The following is a 22,244-nucleotide window of genomic DNA, read 5'->3' as shown; positions in this document are numbered from 1 at the left end:
CTCACACCTGTAATCCCAGTTTTTTGGGTGGTTGAGGCAGGTGGATCACTTGAGGTCAGGAGCTCAAGACCAGCCTGGCCAACATGGCGAAACCCCATCTCTACCAAAACTACAAAAATTAGCCAGGCGTGGTGGCAAGCGCATGTAATCCCAGCTACTCGGGAGGCTGAGGCAGGAGAATTGCTTGAACCTGGGAGGCGGAGGTTGCAGTGAGCCGAGACGGCACCACTGCACTCCAGCCTGGGTGACAGAGCAAGACTCTGTCTCAAAAATAAATAAATAAATAAATGTAATTAGAAAAAATGATTTCTTCCACATTTAGGTGAAAATAAATATACTACTAAGGGGAAGATAATCTGATAAAACAGAATAACAATACATTACAGTTAGATTGGTGGCTATGATAGAAAGAGCAATGCCTTGAGGCTTGGATTTGAATCCTGACCACTTGCTAATTGTGGGAATTTAGGCAAATCTCTTAATTTTGCTGATATATTGCCTCTGTAAAACAGGGGTAATAATATCTGCTTTATAGAACTGTTATATGGATTAAATAAAATAATAAAAGCACCTTGCCACATGTATTATATGTAGTAAGCATTTTATCCATTCCCCTCACATTTTTGCCCTAGTCCTTCAATTTTTGCCTCAAAATGTAGAATATTGACATTTAAAATGTTGAGCACAGTAACCCTTGGAATTTGTGGATTTAACACACATTTCAAATACTAATTTTAAGTGACTCTGAAATTCTTAACTTATTCAAATTAAAAACTTTTTTCCAAATTGTGCATATAAACAATCTGTGCTTCCAGGCTGTTATGAAAAAGGCAAAGAACTTAGCAAGGAAGTAAAACCCTCAGGTCGAGAACAAGTTTTGTGGAAAATAGACCCCAAAAGAATGTTATCTTCCCTTTGGTTTTGCAATTCAGGTAGATCTCTGGCTAATGTTAGTGTAGTAATAATTGTGCTGTTGTTAGGAATACATTAATAGTAACAATAGATAAGATACAGAGTGCTTATTCCTTGATAGCCTCTGTACTAAAAGCTTTTCTCAATCTCACCTATGAGATTAACATTATCATTATACCCATTTTATTTATTTATTATTTTATTATTATTTAATTTTTTTTGAGACTGAGTCTGCTCTATCACCCAGGCTGGAGTACAGTGCCACGATCTCAGCTCACTGCAACCTCTGCCTTCCGGGTTCAAGAGATTATCCTGCCTCAGCCTCCTGTGTAGCTGGGATTACAGGCGTGGGCCACCATGCCTAGCTAATTTTTGTATTTTTGGTAGAGATGGGGTTTCACCATGTTGGCTAGCCTGGTCTTGAACTCCTGACCTCAGGTGATACGCCCGCCTCAGCCTCCTAAAGTGCTGGGATTACAGGCGTGAGACACCATGCCCGGCCTATTATACCCATTTTAATGGTGTATTAAGATAAAGATTTCATTTTAGTAACATAATTTATTTTAATCATTGTACAAGTGAGTTTAGCCTTGCAATTACAGAACCGTTAAAAGTATGAAGAATTCACATAAGTATCTGTAATGATTTACTGTACTATGCTGCTTCTCAGTACATAGAATTATAGCTAGCTTATAATTCTCGTGTGAAATTGCTACAGTAGTATGTGCAAATTTGGAAATTCACAAAAGTTTGAAGATATTGCCATGATGAATTTAAAGAGGCCATAATTCAAGAGAATTAAGATCAATAGAAAACCAAGAATTGGCCAAGTGCCAATTTCTCTCACACACTTTGGAAAGCTGGAGTGGGTGTATTGCTTCAGGTCAGACATTCAAAACCAGCCTGAGCAATATAGCAAGACTCCCACCTCTAAAAAAAAATATTAAAAATTAGGCATATGTCTATAGTCCCAGCTACTCAGGAGGCTGAGGTGAAAGGATAGCTTGACCCCAGGAGTTTGAGGTTGCAGTGAGCTATGATCACACCACTGCACTACATCCATAGTGACAGAGTGAGAACCTGTCTCAAAAGAAAACCAAATGAATAAACAAAAGAAACAAAGAATTTAACAAGGCAAGGCCCACAGCATCCTTACCTGCTGTGTGACTCGTTCTGGGTACCATCTCCCCATCATCCTCTGCAAAATAATCTCTGTGGAGGCAAACACATCATTAATTAATGAGATACTACCCCACAAGGCTCCCATCCCAGGGATCGAGGAGAAGACACCTACCTATTTGTCATTTCTGTTTATCTCTCTGCAAGTATTTACTAAGCTTCTATTATGTATCAGGGACCGTGTCAAGTGCTAGGGATACAAAGGCAAACACCACAGAAGAGTTCCTATTCTCAATAAGTACATGAGAGCCAGCCATTAAATAATTTCACAAGAATTAACTACTATTGTAGTAAATGTTGTGAAGGAAAATGCAGAGGGAACTTAACTAGCACAGGGACTCAGAGAAACTCAGGGAAAGGAACATTTAAACGTAGATGGGAGGATGTCAACCAGGTGTAGAATGGGAGAATGGGAGTGGAAGAGTGTTCCATCATGAGAGAACAGCAAAGGCCCTGAGTCAGAAAGGACTCTGGCCTGTTAGAGGAACAAAGAAAGCCAATGTTGCAACCAGGCCACGCAGGACCTTGTGGTATGGGGTAAGGCCACTGAGTCTAATGTGAAAAGCTACGGGAAATCAATGAAGGATTTTAAATTAAGGAAAGAATGGCAATGATCAGATTTATATTTTAGATAGGTCATTCCAGCTGCATTCTGGCTCTACACAGTGAGACTGTGGAGGGGCAAAAATGGATGGTGAGAATCTATATTCCAAATAGGAAGTTGTGATGGTTTAACAAAGGGGAAATTTTAAAAATTTAAGATATGTTTAGAAAGTAGAATTGACACAGAAACCTTGAAAAACAGACAAAGTTTATGAGTGGAAATGTTAATAACACCATGATTCAGTAGCAAGAGGTGTATCTGTTCAGCATAGTAAATACCACCATCCCTAGCAGAGAGGGGACAGTATCTCAAAATGTATTCAACAAATACTTCTCAAGCCCATGCTTGACAAGTGCTTTTAGGCACTGTTGTAAGCTCCACAAATGTAGCAGTGAGCAAAACAGACAAAAATCCCTGCACTCATGGAATTTTTACAGTAAGGGGAGACAATAAATAAATTGTATAGTAGCAGTTGGGAACAAGTGCTATAAAAAAAAGGAAAGTGGGGAATGTGGATAGGGAGAGCTGGAGGTAGGAGGAGGTAGAGGGGATTGCAATTTTCAGTAGACAAGGCTGCTCTATGAAGCCATAAGGACAGGCATGGGGGTCTCTAGGGAAAGAGTCTTCTAAGCAGAGAACATAAAATGCAAAGGCCCATAAGAGGGAGCATGCTAGTTAGTGGCTGGGTGCAGTGAGCACGTGGTGAGCAGTAGGAGGTGAGGTCAGGGAAGTAATGGGAAGACTGGGCAGGGGGCGCAGACTGTTTGAAGCCTTTCAAGACATGGAGAGGCATTTAGCCACTAGAGTCTTGTGAATCAAAAAGAAAGACGGACTCAGTGACTAATGTTTTAAAGGGGGACTATCTACTGTCTTGACAACTGACTGTCTGATGGGGATGTCAGAAACAGATGATTTCAATAACCCTACAGAAAGATGCTTTCAATAGGTAGCTTATTCTTTAAACTCTTGGGGGCTCCCAAGAATTCTGTAAACAGAGATGTAGAGGACTTCTCTCTTTCTCTCTTTTTTTTTTTTTTTTTTGAGACAGAGTTTTGCTTTTGTTGCCCAGGCTGGAGTGCATGGCACGATCTCGGCTCACCACAACCTCCGCCTCCCAGGTTCAAGCGATTCTCCTGCCCCAGCCTCCCCAGTAGCTGGGATTACAGGTGCCTGCCACCATGCCCGGCTAATTTTGTATTTTTAGTAGAGGCGGGGTTTCTCCGTGTTGGTCAGGCTGGTCTCGAACTCCTGACCTCAGGTGATCCGCCCGCCTCGGCCTCCCAAAGTGCAGAGGTTACAGGCATGAGCCACTGCGCCCAGCCTACAGGACTTCTCTTTTTAAAAGCCAGAAGATATTCACAGGGAGGCAGAGGAGGACCTGGCATTTGCTTGGAAATTGGTGGTTTTTTCTTCCCTGCCTCAGGGCTGGATCTTGGCAGAAATCTTCACTTTGTTAAGTCCCAGATGGACATGAAAATACCAGACAGGGCACATCGGGCTACACATGCCACCTGACAATTATTTCGTATCCAAAAGTAGATCACCAGCTTGTGATTCTTCCAGGCCCCCTGCCTCTTTCCCTTCTCCTCCTTAAAAGCTTTCCCTGAGAGTAAACAATGCCAAAGAGGAATGTACTACGTATGCACTCCCCTCTGTGGAGGTAAAATAGGAGAAGGATGTCAAAACCATCAACCAGAACAATGTCTTAAAAAAATCTGTGGGGAAAAAATTTATACTTAGCTGCTGCTATTCACTGAGCATTTCTGCCTAGTCCACAGACAAAGGTGGCTGCATCTGCTGTCAGGAGCAAGGTCAACCCTCAGGCCAAATTCAGCCCATCCGACATGTTTTATTTAGCCCACACAAGTTTGACCCACTTCTAACTGCTCTTGGGAAATGAGTGGGTCTGCCAACACTGGGCCTGCCTTCCCACACAGCGGGAGAACTTGCCCCCTTTACACAGGACAGGGATGTGTTTTCCAGTTTGCCACAGTCCCTGCCACTCCCTGTCCTTGTCGTCCCTCATTCACTTAATTATGATACTTGCCTGGCATCTTGCAGGTTTCTGATGCTGTTACCCCAGTATAGACCAAGTGCAGACAGAATTTCATTTCTGCTTTATTAAGGCACAGTCTTGAGAAACCCATTGGCTTCACACACAATTAATTAATTTGTGGCAACAAGCTACTATATTGGCTTGCATGTCACTTTCACCTCTCTGGGCATTAGTTTTCTCTAATATTTATAAAAGAAGGACATGACTTTCTAAGGTTCCTTGCAGTAATTATGCAGTTCTATTCTAATAGATGCTTAAGCATAAAACCCATTTTAATACTGTCCAAGGATCCAGGATACCTTCCAGACATGATCTCACTCAATCTTCTCTGCTCTGCAGATTGCACATTATAGGTCAAGAGCAAGCTACAACACAGCAATACATATCAGCCCTACCAGACACCTCACCCTTCCCGCATCACCCACACCCACTCTGAGCACACTGCCTGCCTGATATGAATCAATAACTGGAAGGATAGAGAGGTCACTTTAGATGGGTACTGAGTTAATAAGCATACTCGCAGTGTCTCAGGAGATTTTTAAGAAATCACTTTAGCTCTATTAACAGCTCAAGTTCCCTCTCTTATTGCCAGAGAAAGGGGCTCACTCAGCTGCTCCACAAGTTACAAAGGAATCTGACGCTCCCCAAGGGAAGGGGCTCAGACTGAAGAAACACAGAGTATAAGTCTAAGGGGTTGCAATTTGTGACAACATTTGATAAACCAAAGTGCAAGGAGAATTGGGGTATGGTAGAGACAGACTCCAAGCATGGACACACACACACACACACACATACACACACACACACACACACACACACACACACACACAAAGTGGTAATATATGTTGGTACATTCTTTCGTATTACCCAAGTTCAGAAAAAAATTTTATATCCTTGTCCTAGTTTCTCAAATTCAAGTGTCTCTAGTTTTTGAAAATATCAATTCATGAATGACTCATGCTCAGCTAATATGTGGTTCGCCAGGCCACTTTTAGCTCTCCTGCATTTCCATATATAATCTTTCTCCCATGATGCTTTCACTTAAAATTTTGCTTTTTCTGTATAAATGAACTATATTTTTCCTCAATGTCTTACCTTGTCTTTCTCCCTACGTCATCAATCTGCTAATGACAATACCAATTCCACTAAAACCACATATATTAATATTCTCACCAGGACATTATTTTGCTTTCGGAAGTACCAAGCATTTTCCAAGTACAACCTACTCACAAGCTGTTCACCTGCTTGATTTCTGCATGGTATATCACTCATATTTTCTTGAGTTGCTGATAAGTAGCTATTAAGATATTAGACTCAAATAACACATCAACATTCAATATCCCATATTACTTGGTTTTTCTATGGCTTTCCAGGGTGATTAAGTTGAGAATGATCAGGAAATAATTGCTTCTCTGAAGGCCATCTGCCACCCCCTGATATTCTGACATTCTCAAACTGTCCTGTGATGATTTCTTCCAGTAATTTTCTAAGAATGGTAGTTTCATTTATGGCCAGGGTTATCCAAAACACTCAGTTTTGCTTTACTTGAAACTGGCCACTGATATAGCTCCTTTCAAGATTCAAGCATCTCATTGGTCCCACTAGTCTAGTTTCTCATAACATTGTGGGGAGGGGTAGACACTTGGGTTTCTTCTTGCTTAGGAGCCTGCAGAGAGAGATATTTTCTATAAGGCAGGTATAGACCTTCCTCCGTAAACTGTTATTTCTGGTATTATTTTCTTGTATTTTAGTCTGTCTAATTTGTGGACTGAGAGGAACAACAGATCATATGAATGAATCATCTCATTCAAAAGCAATGACAAGATGGTAATCATCATTACAAAGCAGGTTCTATGAGTCTTTGAACAGTATGAGATATTTGTATTCTAGGACCAAAATCACCACTAAAACTATTTCTAAGGTACTGATGCCTGTCTAGGCTCCATACTTTCTTCTCTCCAGTCTCACCTACTAAAATAATTAACCTAAGGTTATTTATTCCCATATGAGTGTCTAAACTCCCAAAGGAATGGTGATTTTCAGGCCCTCTCTTCAGGCCAATCACAGGTATTTAGTTTGTTCTGAGAACCACATAGTCTGGCCCTCCTACTTCATCACTAACCACCACCCTTGCTTAACATTTCTAAGCCTGAAGACCAGGGCCATCTCCCAGAGGCGTTTTCTAGCTTTCAAGCTTCTTTATATATATATATATATATTTTATTATTATGAACAAAAATTCAGAAGGAGAAAAAACAATCTGCTATAGCAATACCTAGAGCGAAAACCTGGGCCTTCATTGCTATTTTTAGGGTTTTTATAATTCCATTTTGTAAACATTTATTGAGAAGTTGCTTATATGCCAGGTACTGGAAATACAAAGGTGAAAAAGTATATATACCCTGTGGTTAAAGTACTCAGAATCTATTGAGGGAAGCAGGCACATGATTCAGAGAGATAATTATTAGAAAAATTAGATTTAACAGAGATTTCAGAACATAAATAAGATAGCAATTAATTTTGTCCTGGTGGGGAGTGGGCTGGGACAGGGTGGTTGGCGGAGGGGTCTAGGACATTTACAGAAAACAGATAACACTGAATCTAGGTCTTAAAGGATGGGTGTAAATACACAAGGAAACATAACAAAGACCCAATTATAGGAAAATGAACGGTGTGTTCAGGGGGCTTTCATTTTGTTTTCCCCTTCCCAACCACCCCGCTCCATCTTCCCCCCACCCTGAGGAGCCCTAAACTGCCTCCTAGGACATCTTCCAACTTCCTGTTTACCTTTCCCCCTCCTCAAGCCTTCCTCCCCAAGCGCTCACCCTCAGGTGGGAATATGAAGGGAAGCCAAGGGTGAAATTGTTTCTTCATTTGCACCTCCCTCCTCAAACACTATAGCTTAGAAGCCCCCAAAATGATTTAAAATAATGTCAGCAAGAAAGGGGCTAAGATGGCCGGGCGCGGTGGCTCACGCCTGTAATCCCAGCACTTTGGGAGGCCGAGGCGGGTGGATCATGAGGTCAGGATATCGAGACCATTCTGGCTAACAAGGTGAAACCCCGTCTCTACTAAAAATACAAAAAATTAGCCGGGCGCGGTGGCGGGCGCCTGTAGTCCCAGCTACTCGGGAGGCTGAGGCAGGAGAATGGCGTGAACCCGGGAAGCGGAGCTTGCAGTGAGCCGAGATTGCGCCACTGCAGTCCGCAGTCCGGCCTGGGCGACAGAGCGAGACTCCGTCTCAAAAAAAAAAAAAAAAAAAAGAAAGGGGCTAAGATTTGCACTATTGTGAAAATACCCATAGAAACAAACTAGAAAAGAACGCAGAGAAATAAAAAGTCCGGAGGTTTAGAGTGGCGGAAAATATACTGAGCATCCTCCCCCTTTTTTTCTTACTATTTTTGCCAAAAGGCTAATTCTTATTTTTAAAAAGTTTGAATAATCTATTTTTATTGAATTTACATTGCTCTTCCTAATTAATGACCTTGATAAAAGATAACTATGGAAAGGATTCGGCTCGGTGTGGCCTCTCAAACAGTGAGGGGCGTGTGGCATGACAGCAAGACTGCTGAAGTTTGCTCTTTCTTGGGGTCCTCACAGGAGTAGGCATTGAACCAAATGCAGATTGTGTTCCAATTCCCATATTCTTGGAGCTCATTTAAGAAGAGTTGCTGGTTTCTGTTTCAAATGAAATAAATTTTTCAAACGTTCCAAGATGCATTTTTCCTATTTTTAATTTACAGCTATATTCAACTGTGGCAAACACAAAAGGGTCAGAATGAGAAGAACTGTGGCCTATTTTTTAATATGGGAAGCTCTGGCCCTGACAGTTTATAAATGGTAAGATTTTAGAAATAGTGTCAACTTAAAAACAAAGACATCTACAGTTAACAATTTCTGGACTGCTGGTGCATAATTTTATAATTCCACAGGTTTTCTTGCACTGGAATTTTCCTCAATACTAATCTTGTATTAAATGAACATATTATTATCATGGACAACCATCACCACTCACCACCAATGCTGCCTCTGCAATTTACTGAATGCCTGATACTTTCTAGGCATCAGTTCATTCAGTCATCATAGAATCCTGTGAAGTACGTCATACAATCCCTGTTTACAGATGAGGAAACAAGGGGCCTGGAAGGATAAAGTAATTTGCCCAAGATCGCACAGCTAGTTGGTGTCAGAGCCTGAACTTGAAAACTGTCTATTTGACTCCAAACTTTTACTCTTCCCAATATGCCCTATTTCTAACCACACATTTACAGGGAACCTCCTTTGTACCTGCCTTGACTCCAGGGAACTCACCCCTGAGAAGCTGAGGCGAAAGGAAGGGTGGACGGTTTGCTGTGCTGATGAGATGGGATTTTTGTCTCAAACCCTGACACAAATTTGTTTCTTAGACTATCAACTTATCCCTGATGGGCACAGCTTACACTTGAGTATTTGAGTACTGGTGTAACAGATGCCATGTGACAAAATAATTAAAATCCCAAAACGGAAGTGGCTAGTGTGACTTTTTATATAGGTCCTATCGTGAAAAGTGAGTCATCCATCATTTTATACTTCTCTATCTCTAACCCACTTTTTTCAGAATATTTACATCTTTCTCCAACCCCTCCCGTGTTAACACTTGGCATTGTCCCTACCCAAGGGAATAAACTGAAACGCGGGAAAGGTGGTGGAAACAGAAACAATCAAAGTGGAAAAGGCATTAGTGAACAAGCTCTGAGACTTCTCAGATGTGTTTTTTTCCTCTTGCCAAGGAGAGACACTGGATATATTTTCTATGTTCCAAATGTTGCCAAATACCCTCCCACAATGTGGCACCCGAATTGTAAAAACACATATTCAAATGCAAATAGGGTAAAAGCCCCAGATGCAGAACGTTAAGACTATTATATAATACAGTGAAATTATCATTTTTTCTCATCTCAAGATCTATCATTATAACCTCTGCAAGTGAGGATGCTTAATTGGCAAAGCTCCCAGAGGAGAGAGAGCATCACGGTGAGCCTCCTTCTGCATGCTGACTAAGTGTGGGCTGACTTGGCACCGATACAGAAACATCCACTTTATTCCAGTATAGGCTGCAATTACACCCTTCACTCAAAGTCTATTCACTGACAGTGACCATCACTCTGAGAGGCTGTTTTCTGGAGTGCTAAGTCCCCAATAGCTACAGTGAGCTACAAAATCATCGTGCATCCACAACAATTTCTTTAAGTTTCGGGATCTTTGTTTTGTTTTGTTTTTGGTCCAGCACTAAGTCTTCATCCTAAAGAAAATAAGGAAACTAACATTACTTTCTTGATGCTATCCATCAAGGTTCAGAGAAACCCCTTAATAAGTAAGTAATTATTTTTCCTCACTTTACCTTCTGAGGTCATCACATATCCAAATATCTAATAAATTTTCCTCTACCTCCCCTGCATCAGCCAAGACATAGGTATCACTCTTTCAAAAGAAGACATGAAAATAACCTGCTTTGGATTCAGTCACATTACCCCAGGGATGGTGTATGGTCTCTCCACCCACCTCTGAAACTTACCTTTTGCATTTTGCTTTTGGTCCTGGCAATGCACCCTACAATCCTCAGTTTTCATTAACAACTAATATCCACAAGGCACTGGAGTATATTGCAGTTGGCTCAATCTTTCTAGAGCCCTAGACTGAATGTTAAGAAACAGGTGATTTTTTTCCCCTTTCCACCTACTTTTATATTCACATAATCTTTCAGTTTCTTTTCTTTACAATGTCTATTTTTGATGATTTTAAAAGAAGTACATGCCTCGTAGAAATTTTGGAAAAGAGAAAAGTGTACAGAGAAAAATAAAAATAATCTTTAAAATTCTACCACCTGAAGGCAACATTGATAAAGATTTGTATGTATTTAGTTGTTCTTCAGTTTATTTGCCTGTGTGAATTCTGCAAATGGAAATAATATTGAATGTAACAGTTCTGCATCTTGCTTTTATTTACACTACGGAAATCAAAGGTTGTGAGGAATATATTTTTAGAGGAAGAGAAAGAGTCAGGGAAGGAGGAGCAGGAGAAAGAGGCAGGTGGGAGGAGGAGGAGAATTTCTCAGCAGCATTATAGACCTGTTGAGGATTAGCAAGAATGAATCTAGAGTCTCTCTTCTCAGTGCGGTTTTATAACATACTAAAACAACACTCATAGAATCCTCTAGGATTTTAAAATAAAATTGACTAAGGGTTACCAAGCCGGGAGATGGTTAAGGCAGTTAGAGATTCTAAAGCAGCGTTGAGAACACGATTCAAAGAGCTGACTCTGACGTCTAGGTTCAGTATGGAGGTGAATAAACAGCAGATGGCCTGGAAGATACAGAGAGTTGAGGAACTGGAATACATGACGCAGTAAACAACATTCAGAAAGAATGAGGAAGTGGGGGACTTGACCTGTGGTCAAGAAGTATAATTTCAGCATTAAGGATCCTAAGGGTGGAAAATCTGGAAGAAAGATGAGCTACAAAAGATGGCTGTGCTGATAGCATACTGAAGTGAATTCGAGTTAAGGCTATGTCAGGTCAAGGTATAACAGTGATGTATGTCCATGCCTAGTGACCCCTCTAGAATGTCAGTCTCTGGAAGGGAGGGTTTTTAGATCATTCACTATCATCTGTCCAGCATTAAAGAAGTCTAGATCATAGGAATTGGATGCGTATTTCTTTTTTTTTTCTTTTCCCGTAACTGAGGAAACAAGACACATATTTCTTAAACAATGATAAATACAATCTGAATGTATAATGGTGTCAAGTTTGATAACCTGTTGTATCCATTCTACAATAAGGAGACACCCACCAAACAGATATTCCCATCGGCCTTTTGGGGAATGTTCTCTGGAAAGCTCTTAATAGATGACCTTCTAAGTGCTAGAGGCAATGTTAGATGCTGAAGACTTATAGACAAAAACGTTTCATTCTGCCGATAAACTTGGAGTATGGAAAATATCAAGTTAACCAACTAGCTACATGCTACAACAGAGTAGGCAGAGCGTGTTCTGGCTACACCCAGATCTAGGTTCTAAAAATAATTCCTAAAGGAGGTACTTCTGAATCTAACCTCTGAAGGGTATACAAATTTATCCCAGCAAAGGCAAGGCTAGATGTGTAGGTGGGAACAACTGGTATATTAAGGCCCACTCATAATAATTTTAGCTCAGGGTAAATTAAGTCGCAATGACTCTCCAACCAGCTCCCCGGGTCTGCTGGCAATAATGCTGCTCCTGTGGTGCCAATAACCTGAAAATCTCCAAGTAATACAAGAAAGTTATACACAGAAAACCTCCAAGTGATACACAGAAAAACCTAAAACCAACTCAATTCCAAACTTTACATGTTGTCATTTGGTAGACACAAATGTGAACTTCTTCCTGCAATAAAAACCTATGTTGACTTAGTTTAAAAGCAGCATATAAAGGATGTTGCCCATAATCCCCTAACCAAACAAGGCATCTATTTTCTCTTTTCTCTGTCCTTGTAATAGACATCCTAATAGGTATACATAGTTTTGATGTAATTTACATCTATCTTTTACTTTCTTATGTTAAAATTTTCTGTTTATTATCATTTCAGGAAACGTTTCAGGATAGTAATAGAGATTAACAGCAACAGTGAAGCATTTTACCCTAGAGAAGGGTAAAAGTTGGAAATGTTGCTATTGATTCACCTAGGTTATGCCACTTTAATGTCAGTGTGCCTCAGTTTCCCCCTTTACAATACAGGGATTCAGGTCTTGAAAAAGATATTTAAATTGAATGCAATATCTTTCTTATGGGACTATAACTTTAAGTAATTTGCAATGTACTTTCAAGAACTGGAAATGTTGACATAGTTATTCTACTTCTGAACATCTCTCATTCAAAAAATAATGCTGTGGAAGAAGATGCTTTATGCACCTAGACATTTATCAAGTATTATTTATAATAGTTAAAAATTGGAAGTCTACATCCTTTGGGTTAGGCGTAATGATTTAAAAGACACTGTAAATCCACAGCATGTTATTCTACATTATGAATGATAATATACCACATTATGAAGTGGAAAATAAATTCATTCTTAAATTGTGTGAAATGCTAGAAATTATTCAATTTTCTTTGTGAGTCAATGCTTTCTAGTTTTTTTTTTTTTTTTTTTTTTTTTTTTTTTTCCGACAAAGTCTTGCTCTGTCACCCAGGCTGGAGTGCAGTGGTGTGATCTCGGCTCACTGCAACCTCCACTTCCTGGGTTCAAGCAATTCTCATTCCTCGGTCTCCCGATTAGCTGGGATTACAGGCACCCCCCACCATGCCCACTAATTTTTGTATCTTTAGTAGAGATGGGGTTTCAACATGTTGGCCAGGCTGGTCTCGAACTCCTGACCTCAAGTGATCCTCCTGCCTTGGCCTCCCAAAGTGCTGGGATTACAGGCGAGAGCCACTGTGCCTGGCCAGTGAATGCTTTCTATATGTCAGAAGTTATTGCTTCTTTCCACCCTTTCCACCATGACCATGATAAGAAGACACTAGTTGCAAGTTACCTCTTCCCTCACTGGCCTTGGAAAAGACAAGAAAGAAAGACGTTTCTGTGGAATGTAACAAGCAGAAAAGGACTGAAGATAATGAGACAGATTAAGGAAAGATGAATCACAGGCTGTGAAAGTGCTATGAAAATAAAACAGTATTATTATACAATTTATTATAAATAGTCTATGACTAATTTAGCACTTTAGCCATAAGCGTTCAGAAAAAAGAAATTCAGATCATGCTTGTCTTGCTGGCCACAGAACTCAGAAAATGCTCTGAGGCAGAGGAAAACAAGTCCTCAGTGCATTTGAGTGTTTTAAAATAGAATCACATAGAGCCACCTTGGGTCAATATGACATCTCTTGTATTCTGGACTTTCTTCTAACTTTAAATGCTATTTGAATTTTTGCCAGAGACAGCTTGTGGAATGTTCTGAGCCCAGTTTGGAATTTTATTTATAAAATGGGGTAGATTTCAATAGAAGTAGTGTCCTGGGGCATCCACTGAATGGATGGATGCTCCACTTAGCCTTGAAAATATGATCCCTCAGCCACAGTCAGGCGAGCCTCCCAGGATGGGGACGGCACCATGAGGTGTTACTTATCCTTTCTGAGACAAAAACAACCCCTTCCCAGTCTTTAGGTATTTTAAACATAGTCTTAGCATGTAGCTGAAAAAATGGGGGTTGGGGGAGTCAGGTCCAGACTGATCTAGTGTGTGGAAAATAAGCAAGTAGGAGTGAAAGCATTGATTCTGGCAAATTCCCCAAGCCGAAATCCAAGTATAGGCCCATTTAAAAGTAGACTGGAGTTGCCAAGGCAGAATTTCCTTCTTAAAATTCAGATAATTAGTTGCTAGCAGTGCTGAATATTAAACAGGAAATTCAACTTCCAAAGATGTTTCAATAATAGAATTCTGAAAACAAGCATTTTCCTAATATGAAGTGTTACATGCAAAGCACCAGCACCATAATAAGTAAAGGTACTGGAATTAACTAGGCCTTCATACAACACATACTAGTTGTGTGAATGCCAGCAAATCATTTAACCACTTTAACCTCAGTGGCCATATATCTCTGGTTGTAACTATGTCTTTGTAAACAGGACTCTCTACTAACTCACCATAAATTCAGAGAAAAATAAATGTCCCTGATTCCTCTAGGCTAAACATTTATATAGAGAAAAACAAATTCAAATAAGCTATCAATGGAGATCTGTTAAGTACAATATAGCTGTGGTAAATGGACACCTTGTCTTGCTTGAAGGCTGTACTCCAGAAAAGAAACAAAGTCAAAATTCTTAAATTTTGAAACCAGATCATTAATTTTCTTGAATGTTACTTCCATTTTCCAAATTTTCACAGATACAGCAAGCAAATGCAATTAATGCTTGCATTTTATTAAATCAAATTGCAGGGGAATAGAAAACAAAACAAAACAGACTAATTTGCTTTCCTTTTTTAACCTTCAGTCTTATAGTTTGCCCTTAAACATTTCTAGTTCACTCTTTTCTTGAGTTATGTGTTCGGGGAAGTTGTATAAGGTTCATATATGATTCACCTGATGTTTACTCAGCTTTCTCATATGCTAGAAACCAGAACATTTCCACTGAAATGGGGAAGATAATTAGTAATGACTTTTTCAGCATTGAACGATGTGGTAGGCTAAAATAATGGCCTTATAAGAATGTCCACATTCCTAATCCCCAGATCCTGTGTATATGCCACTTTCCATAGCAAGAGAGGGCTTTGCAGATGTGACTAAAGATTTTGAGATGAGGAGATTATCCTGGATTATCTGGTTGGGTCCAATGTAATCATAAGGGTCCTAGTAAGAGGGACACTGGAGGGTCAGAATGATCAAAGGAGATGTGATGATAGAAGCAGAGGCCAGTGATGGCATTGCTGGAAGGGGCTATGAACCCAGAATGTGGGCAGTCTCTCGAAGCCATGAAGGGCAAGGAACAAATTCTCCTTTAGAGCCTCTAGAAGGAGCACAGTCCTGCTGATACCTTGGTTTTAACCTAGAAGACCAAATTTCAGACTTCTGACCTCCAGAACTTTAAGGCAATACATTTGTATTGTTTTAAGCCACTAAGTTTGTGGTGATTTGGCTGGGCGCAGTGGCTCACACCTGTAATCCCAGCACTTTGGGAGGCCAAGGCGGGTGGATCACTTGAGGTCAGGAGTTTGAGACCAGCCAGGCCAACATGGTGAAACCCCGTCTCTACTAAAAATACAAAAATTAGCTGAGTGTGGTGCCATGTGCCTGTAATCCCAGCTACTTGGGAGGCTGAGGCAGGAGAATCCCTTGAACCTGAGAGGCGGAGGTTGCAGTGAGCCAAGATTGCACCACTGCACGCTAGCCTGGGCAACAGAGTGAGACTCCATCTCAAAAAAAAAAAAAAAAGTTTGTGGTGATTTGTTACACCAGCAACAGGAAATTAATACAAACAGTAATCCTGAAGTACTGATAATCTTTAAAGCAGAAGGTGTAGGGAGTTGCTAGTCCAGACAGGTGGATGCTAAAAATTTAGAGCAGTAGAAGCTGTTTGCCTGGTTGACACTGGACCTGCCGGGTGAGAAAACCTCCCCTCATCATCAAGTTCTTCATCAGCTCCATGAGCTTATTCTTTTGACAACTCTCGCCCTGTTCACGGAAATAAATCTGAAAGCTGGTGACCAAATCAGCTTTTTGTAATGCCAGTATATTCATAGAAAATTTGCTATTCCAGAGCCAACCATGCTCTGTCCAAATGATTTAACCAGTGAGTTTGGCAACAGTCAGGTAACGGCCCCAGCGGGTAGGGGGAACCTTTCCATTGAGCTGTAGAGGGGCAGATGATGTGTAGCTGGGAGTAGAGCATATCTAACTTTGAGAACTAAAATACCAAGCACCTTGTCCTTTGTGGGTAAATTGAGCAAGTAGCTAGCTTCAGAAACAAGTCATAAACTGAGTCACCTACAAAACTCTACTAAAATAAAGTAAAAGCATAGATTTTGGAATGAAACAGTTCAAGGCTATATTTCTTTCTCGGCTGTGTGTGTCACTCTGGGAAAATTATTTAATCTTTCTGAAGCTCAATTTCCTTTTCTTAAAAATGAGTATAACATTTACTTCATAGGGTTGTAAGGATTAGGTGAATTAAGTATTCAAAGAGATTAGCACACAATTAAAGCTTAATAAATGTTATCAATTATGGTTAATTTTTATTCTTTCAATCCCCTATCCACTGTGTACCCAGAGCAGCCACTGCGTATCTCTGCCTTAGTGTCTCTCTATTAAAATTATAGATGATGACAATGTAAAGCCATTAAAGGCAGAGACCCAGTCTCATTCATTGCATTCATTGTTTTATTCTTAGCATCTAGCACAGCGTCTGACCTGTTTGGGGCTCTCAAAATTTATTTATTTATTTATTTATTTTTGAGACAGAGTCTCACTGTGTCACCCAGGCTGGAGTGCAGTGGTATAATCTCAGCTCACTGCAACATCCGCCTCCCGGGTTCAAGGGATTCTCCTGCCTCAGGCTCCTAAGTAGCTGGGACTACAGGTGCAGGCACCACACCCGGCTAATTTTTGTATTTTTAGTAGAGATGGGGTTTCAGCACGTTGGCCAGACTGGTCTCGAACTTCTGACCTCAAGTCATCCACCTGCCTTGGCCTCTCAAACTGTTGAGACTACAGGCGTGAGCCATTTCATCCGGCCCTCAAATTTTTAATAAGTGTTTATGAACTAATCTGATCTGTGAGTTAGGAAGGATCTGAGATGTCAGCCATGATCTGTGATTATAGGATTTTTCCAACTGTGACCCATTAGGTGGAGAAATAAATTCAGTGAATCAGAGCCAACATTTTATTTTTAAAGAAAAAGAATAGAATAGCAAATATCAGAGTGCAAAACACATAGTAAAGTTAAGTATTGTTACAAGAAACTTTGTTACATATGTAAGAGTACTTGGTGGCAATGTAAATATATTACTTATTGTGAGTAGTGGTTAAAAAATATGTGAACATTCTGAATGGTCCACCTTGCCAGCATTTGCTACTTTCTATCTTTTTAATTTCAGCCATTCTGATATGTATATAGCAGCATGGTGTTGTGGTTCTAATTTGCATTTCCCTGATAACTAGTGATGTGGAGCACCTTTTCACTATGTTCTTCCCTTTGGATACCCTCTTTTTTTTTTTTTTTTTTTTTTTTTTTTTTTTTTTTTTTTTTTTTTTTGAGATGTAGGCTCGCTCTGTCACCCAGGCTGGAGTGCAGTGGTGCGATCTCGGCTCACTGCAAGCTCCGCCTCCCAGGTTCAGGCCATTCTCCTGCCTCAGCCTCCCGAGTAGCTGGGACTACAGGTGCCTGCAACCACGCCGGGCTAATTTTTTGTATTTTTAGTAGAGACGGGGTTTCACCGTGTTAGCCAGGACTATCTCGATCTCCTGACCCCGTGATCCGCCCGCCTCGGCCTCCCAAAGTGCTGGGATTACAGGCGTGAGCCACCGCGCCTGGCCTGGATACCCGCTTTAGAAATCTCTTTTGTAATCTGTTTAAAAAAAAACAATCTGGCAGTATTTACTAAATCTGAACATGCATTTCCTATTACGCAGAAATCATACTTCTACTTATTTACTCAACAGAAATGTGTACATATGTTCATCAAAAGACCTGTACAGAAATGTTCATAGCAACACTGTTTATAATAGCTCCAAACTGGAAATTGCCCAAGTGCCTATTAAGAATAGAATGGACAAATAAATTTGATATATTTATACACTATAGAAGCCTATTTAAAAGCAAGAATAAATGGACTACAGTACCATATAACAGTATAGAACTCCAAAAGCAAAAGATTGAGTGAAAGGAGCCACGTACGAAAGAGTACATGGTGTATAATTTCATTTACATAAAGTTCAAAACTAGGCAAAATTATTCTATGGTGTTAAAAATTAGGATAATGATTATCCTTGAAGTCATCAGGAGGGCTTCAGGGATGCTGGTAATGTTCCCTTTCTCTATCTGAATGCCCATCCCATGAGTATACTCAGTTTGTCAAATTAATTGGACTGTAAATATATAATTTGCGATTTTTCCAAATCATTTCTGAATTTGTCTGAAATTGTTACATGTAAATATAAAATTTTTAAAACTTAATAAATAATACTTTTTTCTTCAAGTGTGAAAAACACTGGCAGAGAGCAAAAGGCCCTGATACACTCACTCCCATCACCATCAAGTGGTCATCTAGCCTTTGCCTGAGTAACTCCAGGGTCAACAATCTCTTTACTGCCCATACTGCCCAGGCAGCTAACTTGTTAGAAAGCTTTTTTTTAATTTTTTTTTGAGACGGAGTCTCGCTCTGTCGCCCAGGCTGGAGTGCAGTGGCGCGATCTCGGCTCACTGCAAGCTCCGCTTCCCGGGTTCACGCCATTCTCCTACCTCAGCCTCCCAAGTAGCTGGTACTACAGGCGCCCGCCACCACGCCCGGCTAATTTTTTTTGTGTTTTTAGTAGAGACGGGGCTTCACTGTGTTAGCCAGGATGGTCTCAATCTCCTGACCTCGTAATCCGCCCCCCTCAGCCTCCCAAAGTACTGCAATTACAGGCGTGAGCCACCTCGCCTGGTCTTTTTTTTTTTTTTTTTTTTTTTTTTTTTTGAGGCGGAGTTTCGCTTTTGTTGCCCAGGCTGGAGTGCAATGGCTTGATCTCGGCTCACCACAAACTTCTCCTCCCGGGTTCAAGCGATTCTCCTGCCTCAGCCTCCGGAGTAGCTGGGATTACAGGCACGTGCGACCACGCCCGGCTAATTTTGTATTTTAGTAGAGATGGGGTTTCTCCATGTTGGTCAGGCTGGTCTCGAACTCCCGACCTCAGGTGATCCGCCTGCCTCAGCCTCCCAAAGTGCTGGGATTACAGGCATGAGCCACTGCACCTGGCCAGAAAGCTTTTTCTTTACACTGAGCCATAACTCGCCTCCCAACAACTCGCTTGCATCGGTTGTTCTGTCCTCCTAAGAGATTCTAATGTGATTCAATCCCTCTACCACCAATAGCTCTTCGGAAATTTGAAGGAAGCTACCACATCCTCCCCACTCCCAGTCGTCATTTCTCCGGACTCAGGAGTCCCAGGTCCTTCCTTTGGCCATCCCTCAAGGCATGGCTTTGAGTTCCCTCCTGTCTCTTGATTGTACTTATTTTATCTAATGATGCCCAGAACTAAGCACAGCCCTCTCGGAGAGGCCCAAGAGGAGCAGAAAGGAGCCAAAAGTAAAATCATCACTTTTGATCTAGACAGAATCTAGACAGCCTACTTCTTCTGTCAACAAACCCTAAGCTTCAATTTGCTCCTTCTTTAATATTCACATTATACCATTCACTCCTGTTGAGCTTAGCAATCAACTAAAAGCACCCAAGTCTTTTGCATAAGCCCCAAATTTACCTTCTGTGTTTGTACCGTCTTCACTCTCTCAGGAGTCAGAGCGCTCATTTGGCCCCACCCCAATTCTCCAAAGCTAAATCCCACAGATGGAAGCGTATCTGTTATAGAGACACCGCTGGAATAGTCTCCCTACCCTCCCACCCACTAAAAAACAGAAACGAAGTCTTTGTCTCAATACATGGTCTCTTATCCTTACCCTTTCCTTGAATGGGGCTTCATTTTAAAGTGTGTCTGGGGGAAGGACTGGAAGAAAACGCAGTTTCACAGGCCATCTCCAAAATCTGACCTAAAAGCCAACTGTTGCCTGGCCTCAATAAAGCCTGAGCAGTGTGGTGCCCTGATCTCTTTCCTTCTCCATTCCTCCCCCAAGTGGGCTCCAACTGGAGGTTGTGGAGATGAGTGCTGCTGGGCTCTGCTCACTCAGTCCCTTTGCCTTTGTGTGAGTAGTGACAGATGAGGCTGAGAAGGAAAACGTGGCAGGGTGAGAATAAACCTGATATTGTTCAAAGCATCTGACATCAAACATATCTCTCAAGAAGACCTACTGGAATCCCTCTAGCCACACGAACAAGGAAACGACAGAGAACCATTTCTACAGAAAGTTCCAGGCGGCCTCCCTGGGTATTTTTAACATCAGGACTCGGTGGAGGGGAGAGTCATTAAGCAAGGGAAACCCCGTAAAACAGAACATGTGAAAATGACCAAGAGAGGTGGGCTGGGAACCAGGCAGGGCGAGGCTACAGAAAAGGGAAGCTGTCACGGGACCCTGGTGGTGAGGGGCGACCTCTCTCTCCCTAAGGGCGCTGGGGGAGGGGAGGGAGGAGGACCACCAAGTCTGGAGCGCGGCGAGAAGGAAACAGCCCACCTACCTCGTCCAGGTCTGCTCCATTTTCCAGGCTCTTTCCTTAGTCTCAGGACGCTCCTCACCCGGGAGGGGAAGCAGCCTGGGAAAATGAGAAGCCTTGCCCACGAATCTCCAGCGCAAAAGGCAGCAGCTTTTTCCTCCCCAGCTCCTTTCTGCGTCGGCGGCGAAGAGAGAGCTCTGCTCCCTGCTTTTTTAGAAAATGGATTTGACGTGGCCGAACCTGCGGCTAGCCGTGCGACCCGCACAAGGGAGGGACTGTTCTCAGTAGGAGGCTGGACTCAGAGCGGCGCGGCGCCCGGGGCTGTTTCGTGAGCTGGAGCCAGCGGCTGCCCGGGCCGCGGTGCGCGCACTCTCCAGGCTGAGACACGACTGGCTGGCACGAGTTGCTCGGCACCAGCTGAGCTGTCAACCGCGAGCGGAGGCGGGGCTCCCGACAACCAGTGTGCTGGGGCAGAATCGGCCCAGGTTACACGCCCCCTGAACCACCCTCGCGTCTCCCCGACCCCTCTCTCGCTGGCTCAGATGAATGATGACGGCAGAGGGCAGAGAGCTTAGAGGACGCGGTACCAAGCCCCGTCCCTCGCCCATCCCAACGAAGGTCTTAGAATACAATCAACCAACTACAGGAAGAATTTGTAGAGGAGGTTTTCTTGTGTGTCTGCATCGCCCCACCCACAGGTAACCCCAGAGCCAGAGATGGAGTCTAGGAAGGTTTAGGAGCAATCCCGGCTGAATGCAGATGTATACCCTACGTGGTCATGGAACACGATGTTGTCTTCCTAGAGATGTGACATGCCAGTTTCACCATTAATCCAGGGACAGGACCCTTCATCAGGAAGGGAAGCATCCCAACAAAACCTTACAGCCCTATTAGCTGCCTGTATCCCAGACATCTCCTGTTTTAGGGTATTCTACCTCCTCGTTTTTCAGTTTCGCCAGCAACTGGGCTCTACCAATAGCTTCAAGGAGGGAGAAGCTTCCTGACTCCCAGAACACTAGAAAAGCCTCAAGACAGTAGCCATCAGGACCTCGACACTCCCTTGTGACTGTTTTAAGATCATGGAAAAGGCCTCTTTGGAGATGGCATTGCCTCAGGCCCTGTACCATGTACTTATGTATCAAGATTTAAACAAGGCAGACATACTATAATTAGAGTGCTTGCCACCCTGAAGCTCCTTTTTAGCTTTCAAATAAGACCGTTTTATTAAATGACATAATCACTGTTATTATTAGCACTATCACTGACCTTTTTTTTTATCTGAAAAAGGCTTTATAGTGCCCACATGTGGCAATGTTAATTTCGTTGTACTTGTTTCAGAGATGATAAATTTGAGACCCCAAAAGGCCCAAAGTCTCTGCTAAGGTTCTGATACAGGCTGTGTTCTCCATTGGGTGGCCCCAGAGATATGTTCCCTGAATTTCTAAAGCTACGACCCACAAGACTTCTCCAGGATGAATTTATTCTTTCAGGCCTCCTAGGCATTTAACTCAGGAAGAACCTGGCATGCCTGGGTATTGGTGAGACTGTGGGGAGTCTGTGTTCTTGGGGGAACCTGTCATCTGTCTGTTATCTCTTGGATTGGTTCCCCTACATACTAGTACAAAGTAGGGGTGGGGAGGGGAGGATAACAAAACATTTGAAGGTTTAGCAGAACTGTCTAAAAAGCCC

At 41.9% G+C, this 22,244-nt stretch overlaps 1 protein-coding gene across 34 annotated transcripts in view, besides 5 other annotated features; it reads right to left on the bottom strand.

The window, feature by feature from the left end:
• Positions 1-22,244, bottom strand: part of PDE4DIP (phosphodiesterase 4D interacting protein) — a 224,583-nt gene that overhangs the window by 167,643 nt on the left and 34,696 nt on the right. For 18 of the 34 annotated variants that reach the window (NM_001350522.3, NM_001395305.1, NM_001395304.1 and 15 more), the window contains exons 1-2: positions 20,580-20,865; positions 2,069-2,124 (exon numbers count right to left, since the gene is read on the bottom strand). The exons of 1 other annotated variant lie outside the window; for it this stretch is intronic. In NM_001350522.3, coding sequence (NP_001337451.1) covers positions 2,069-2,124; positions 20,580-20,599 — 76 coding nt within the window. In that variant the 5' untranslated portion in view covers positions 20,600-20,865. Of the gene's footprint in view, positions 1-2,068; positions 2,125-20,579; positions 20,947-22,244 lie in introns of those variants that run through there. 15 more of the 34 variants (NM_001377392.2, NM_001350521.4, NM_001395298.1 and 12 more) reach the window with 2 other exon arrangements.
• Positions 3,423-4,035: an enhancer, noted in NCBI's record as "H3K27ac-H3K4me1 hESC enhancer chr1:145022466-145023081 (GRCh37/hg19 assembly coordinates)". NCBI's record gives its function as "activates a minimal SCP1, AML or CMV promoter by ChIP-STARR-seq in primed H9 embryonic stem cells {active_cell/tissue: H9 hESC(primed)}" and the evidence as "EXISTENCE:reporter gene assay evidence [ECO:0000049][PMID:30033119]".
• Positions 4,036-4,650: an enhancer, noted in NCBI's record as "NANOG-H3K27ac-H3K4me1 hESC enhancer chr1:145023082-145023696 (GRCh37/hg19 assembly coordinates)". NCBI's record gives its function as "activates a minimal SCP1, AML or CMV promoter by ChIP-STARR-seq in primed H9 embryonic stem cells {active_cell/tissue: H9 hESC(primed)}" and the evidence as "EXISTENCE:reporter gene assay evidence [ECO:0000049][PMID:30033119]".
• Positions 9,762-10,263: an enhancer, noted in NCBI's record as "NANOG hESC enhancer chr1:145028802-145029303 (GRCh37/hg19 assembly coordinates)". NCBI's record gives its function as "activates a minimal SCP1, AML or CMV promoter by ChIP-STARR-seq in primed H9 embryonic stem cells {active_cell/tissue: H9 hESC(primed)}" and the evidence as "EXISTENCE:reporter gene assay evidence [ECO:0000049][PMID:30033119]".
• Positions 20,053-20,775: an enhancer, noted in NCBI's record as "H3K4me1 hESC enhancer chr1:145039063-145039785 (GRCh37/hg19 assembly coordinates)". NCBI's record gives its function as "activates a minimal SCP1, AML or CMV promoter by ChIP-STARR-seq in naive and primed H9 embryonic stem cells {active_cell/tissue: H9 hESC(naive and primed)}" and the evidence as "EXISTENCE:reporter gene assay evidence [ECO:0000049][PMID:30033119]".
• Positions 20,776-21,497: an enhancer, noted in NCBI's record as "H3K4me1 hESC enhancer chr1:145039786-145040507 (GRCh37/hg19 assembly coordinates)". NCBI's record gives its function as "activates a minimal SCP1, AML or CMV promoter by ChIP-STARR-seq in primed H9 embryonic stem cells {active_cell/tissue: H9 hESC(primed)}" and the evidence as "EXISTENCE:reporter gene assay evidence [ECO:0000049][PMID:30033119]".

This window comes from Homo sapiens, chromosome 1 (assembly GCF_000001405.40).
Source record: "Homo sapiens chromosome 1, GRCh38.p14 Primary Assembly".
Classification (NCBI taxonomy): domain Eukaryota; kingdom Metazoa; phylum Chordata; class Mammalia; order Primates; family Hominidae; genus Homo; species Homo sapiens.
The sequence above is the reverse complement of the archived record's forward strand: the minus strand, read 5'-3'. Positions and strand labels throughout refer to the sequence as shown.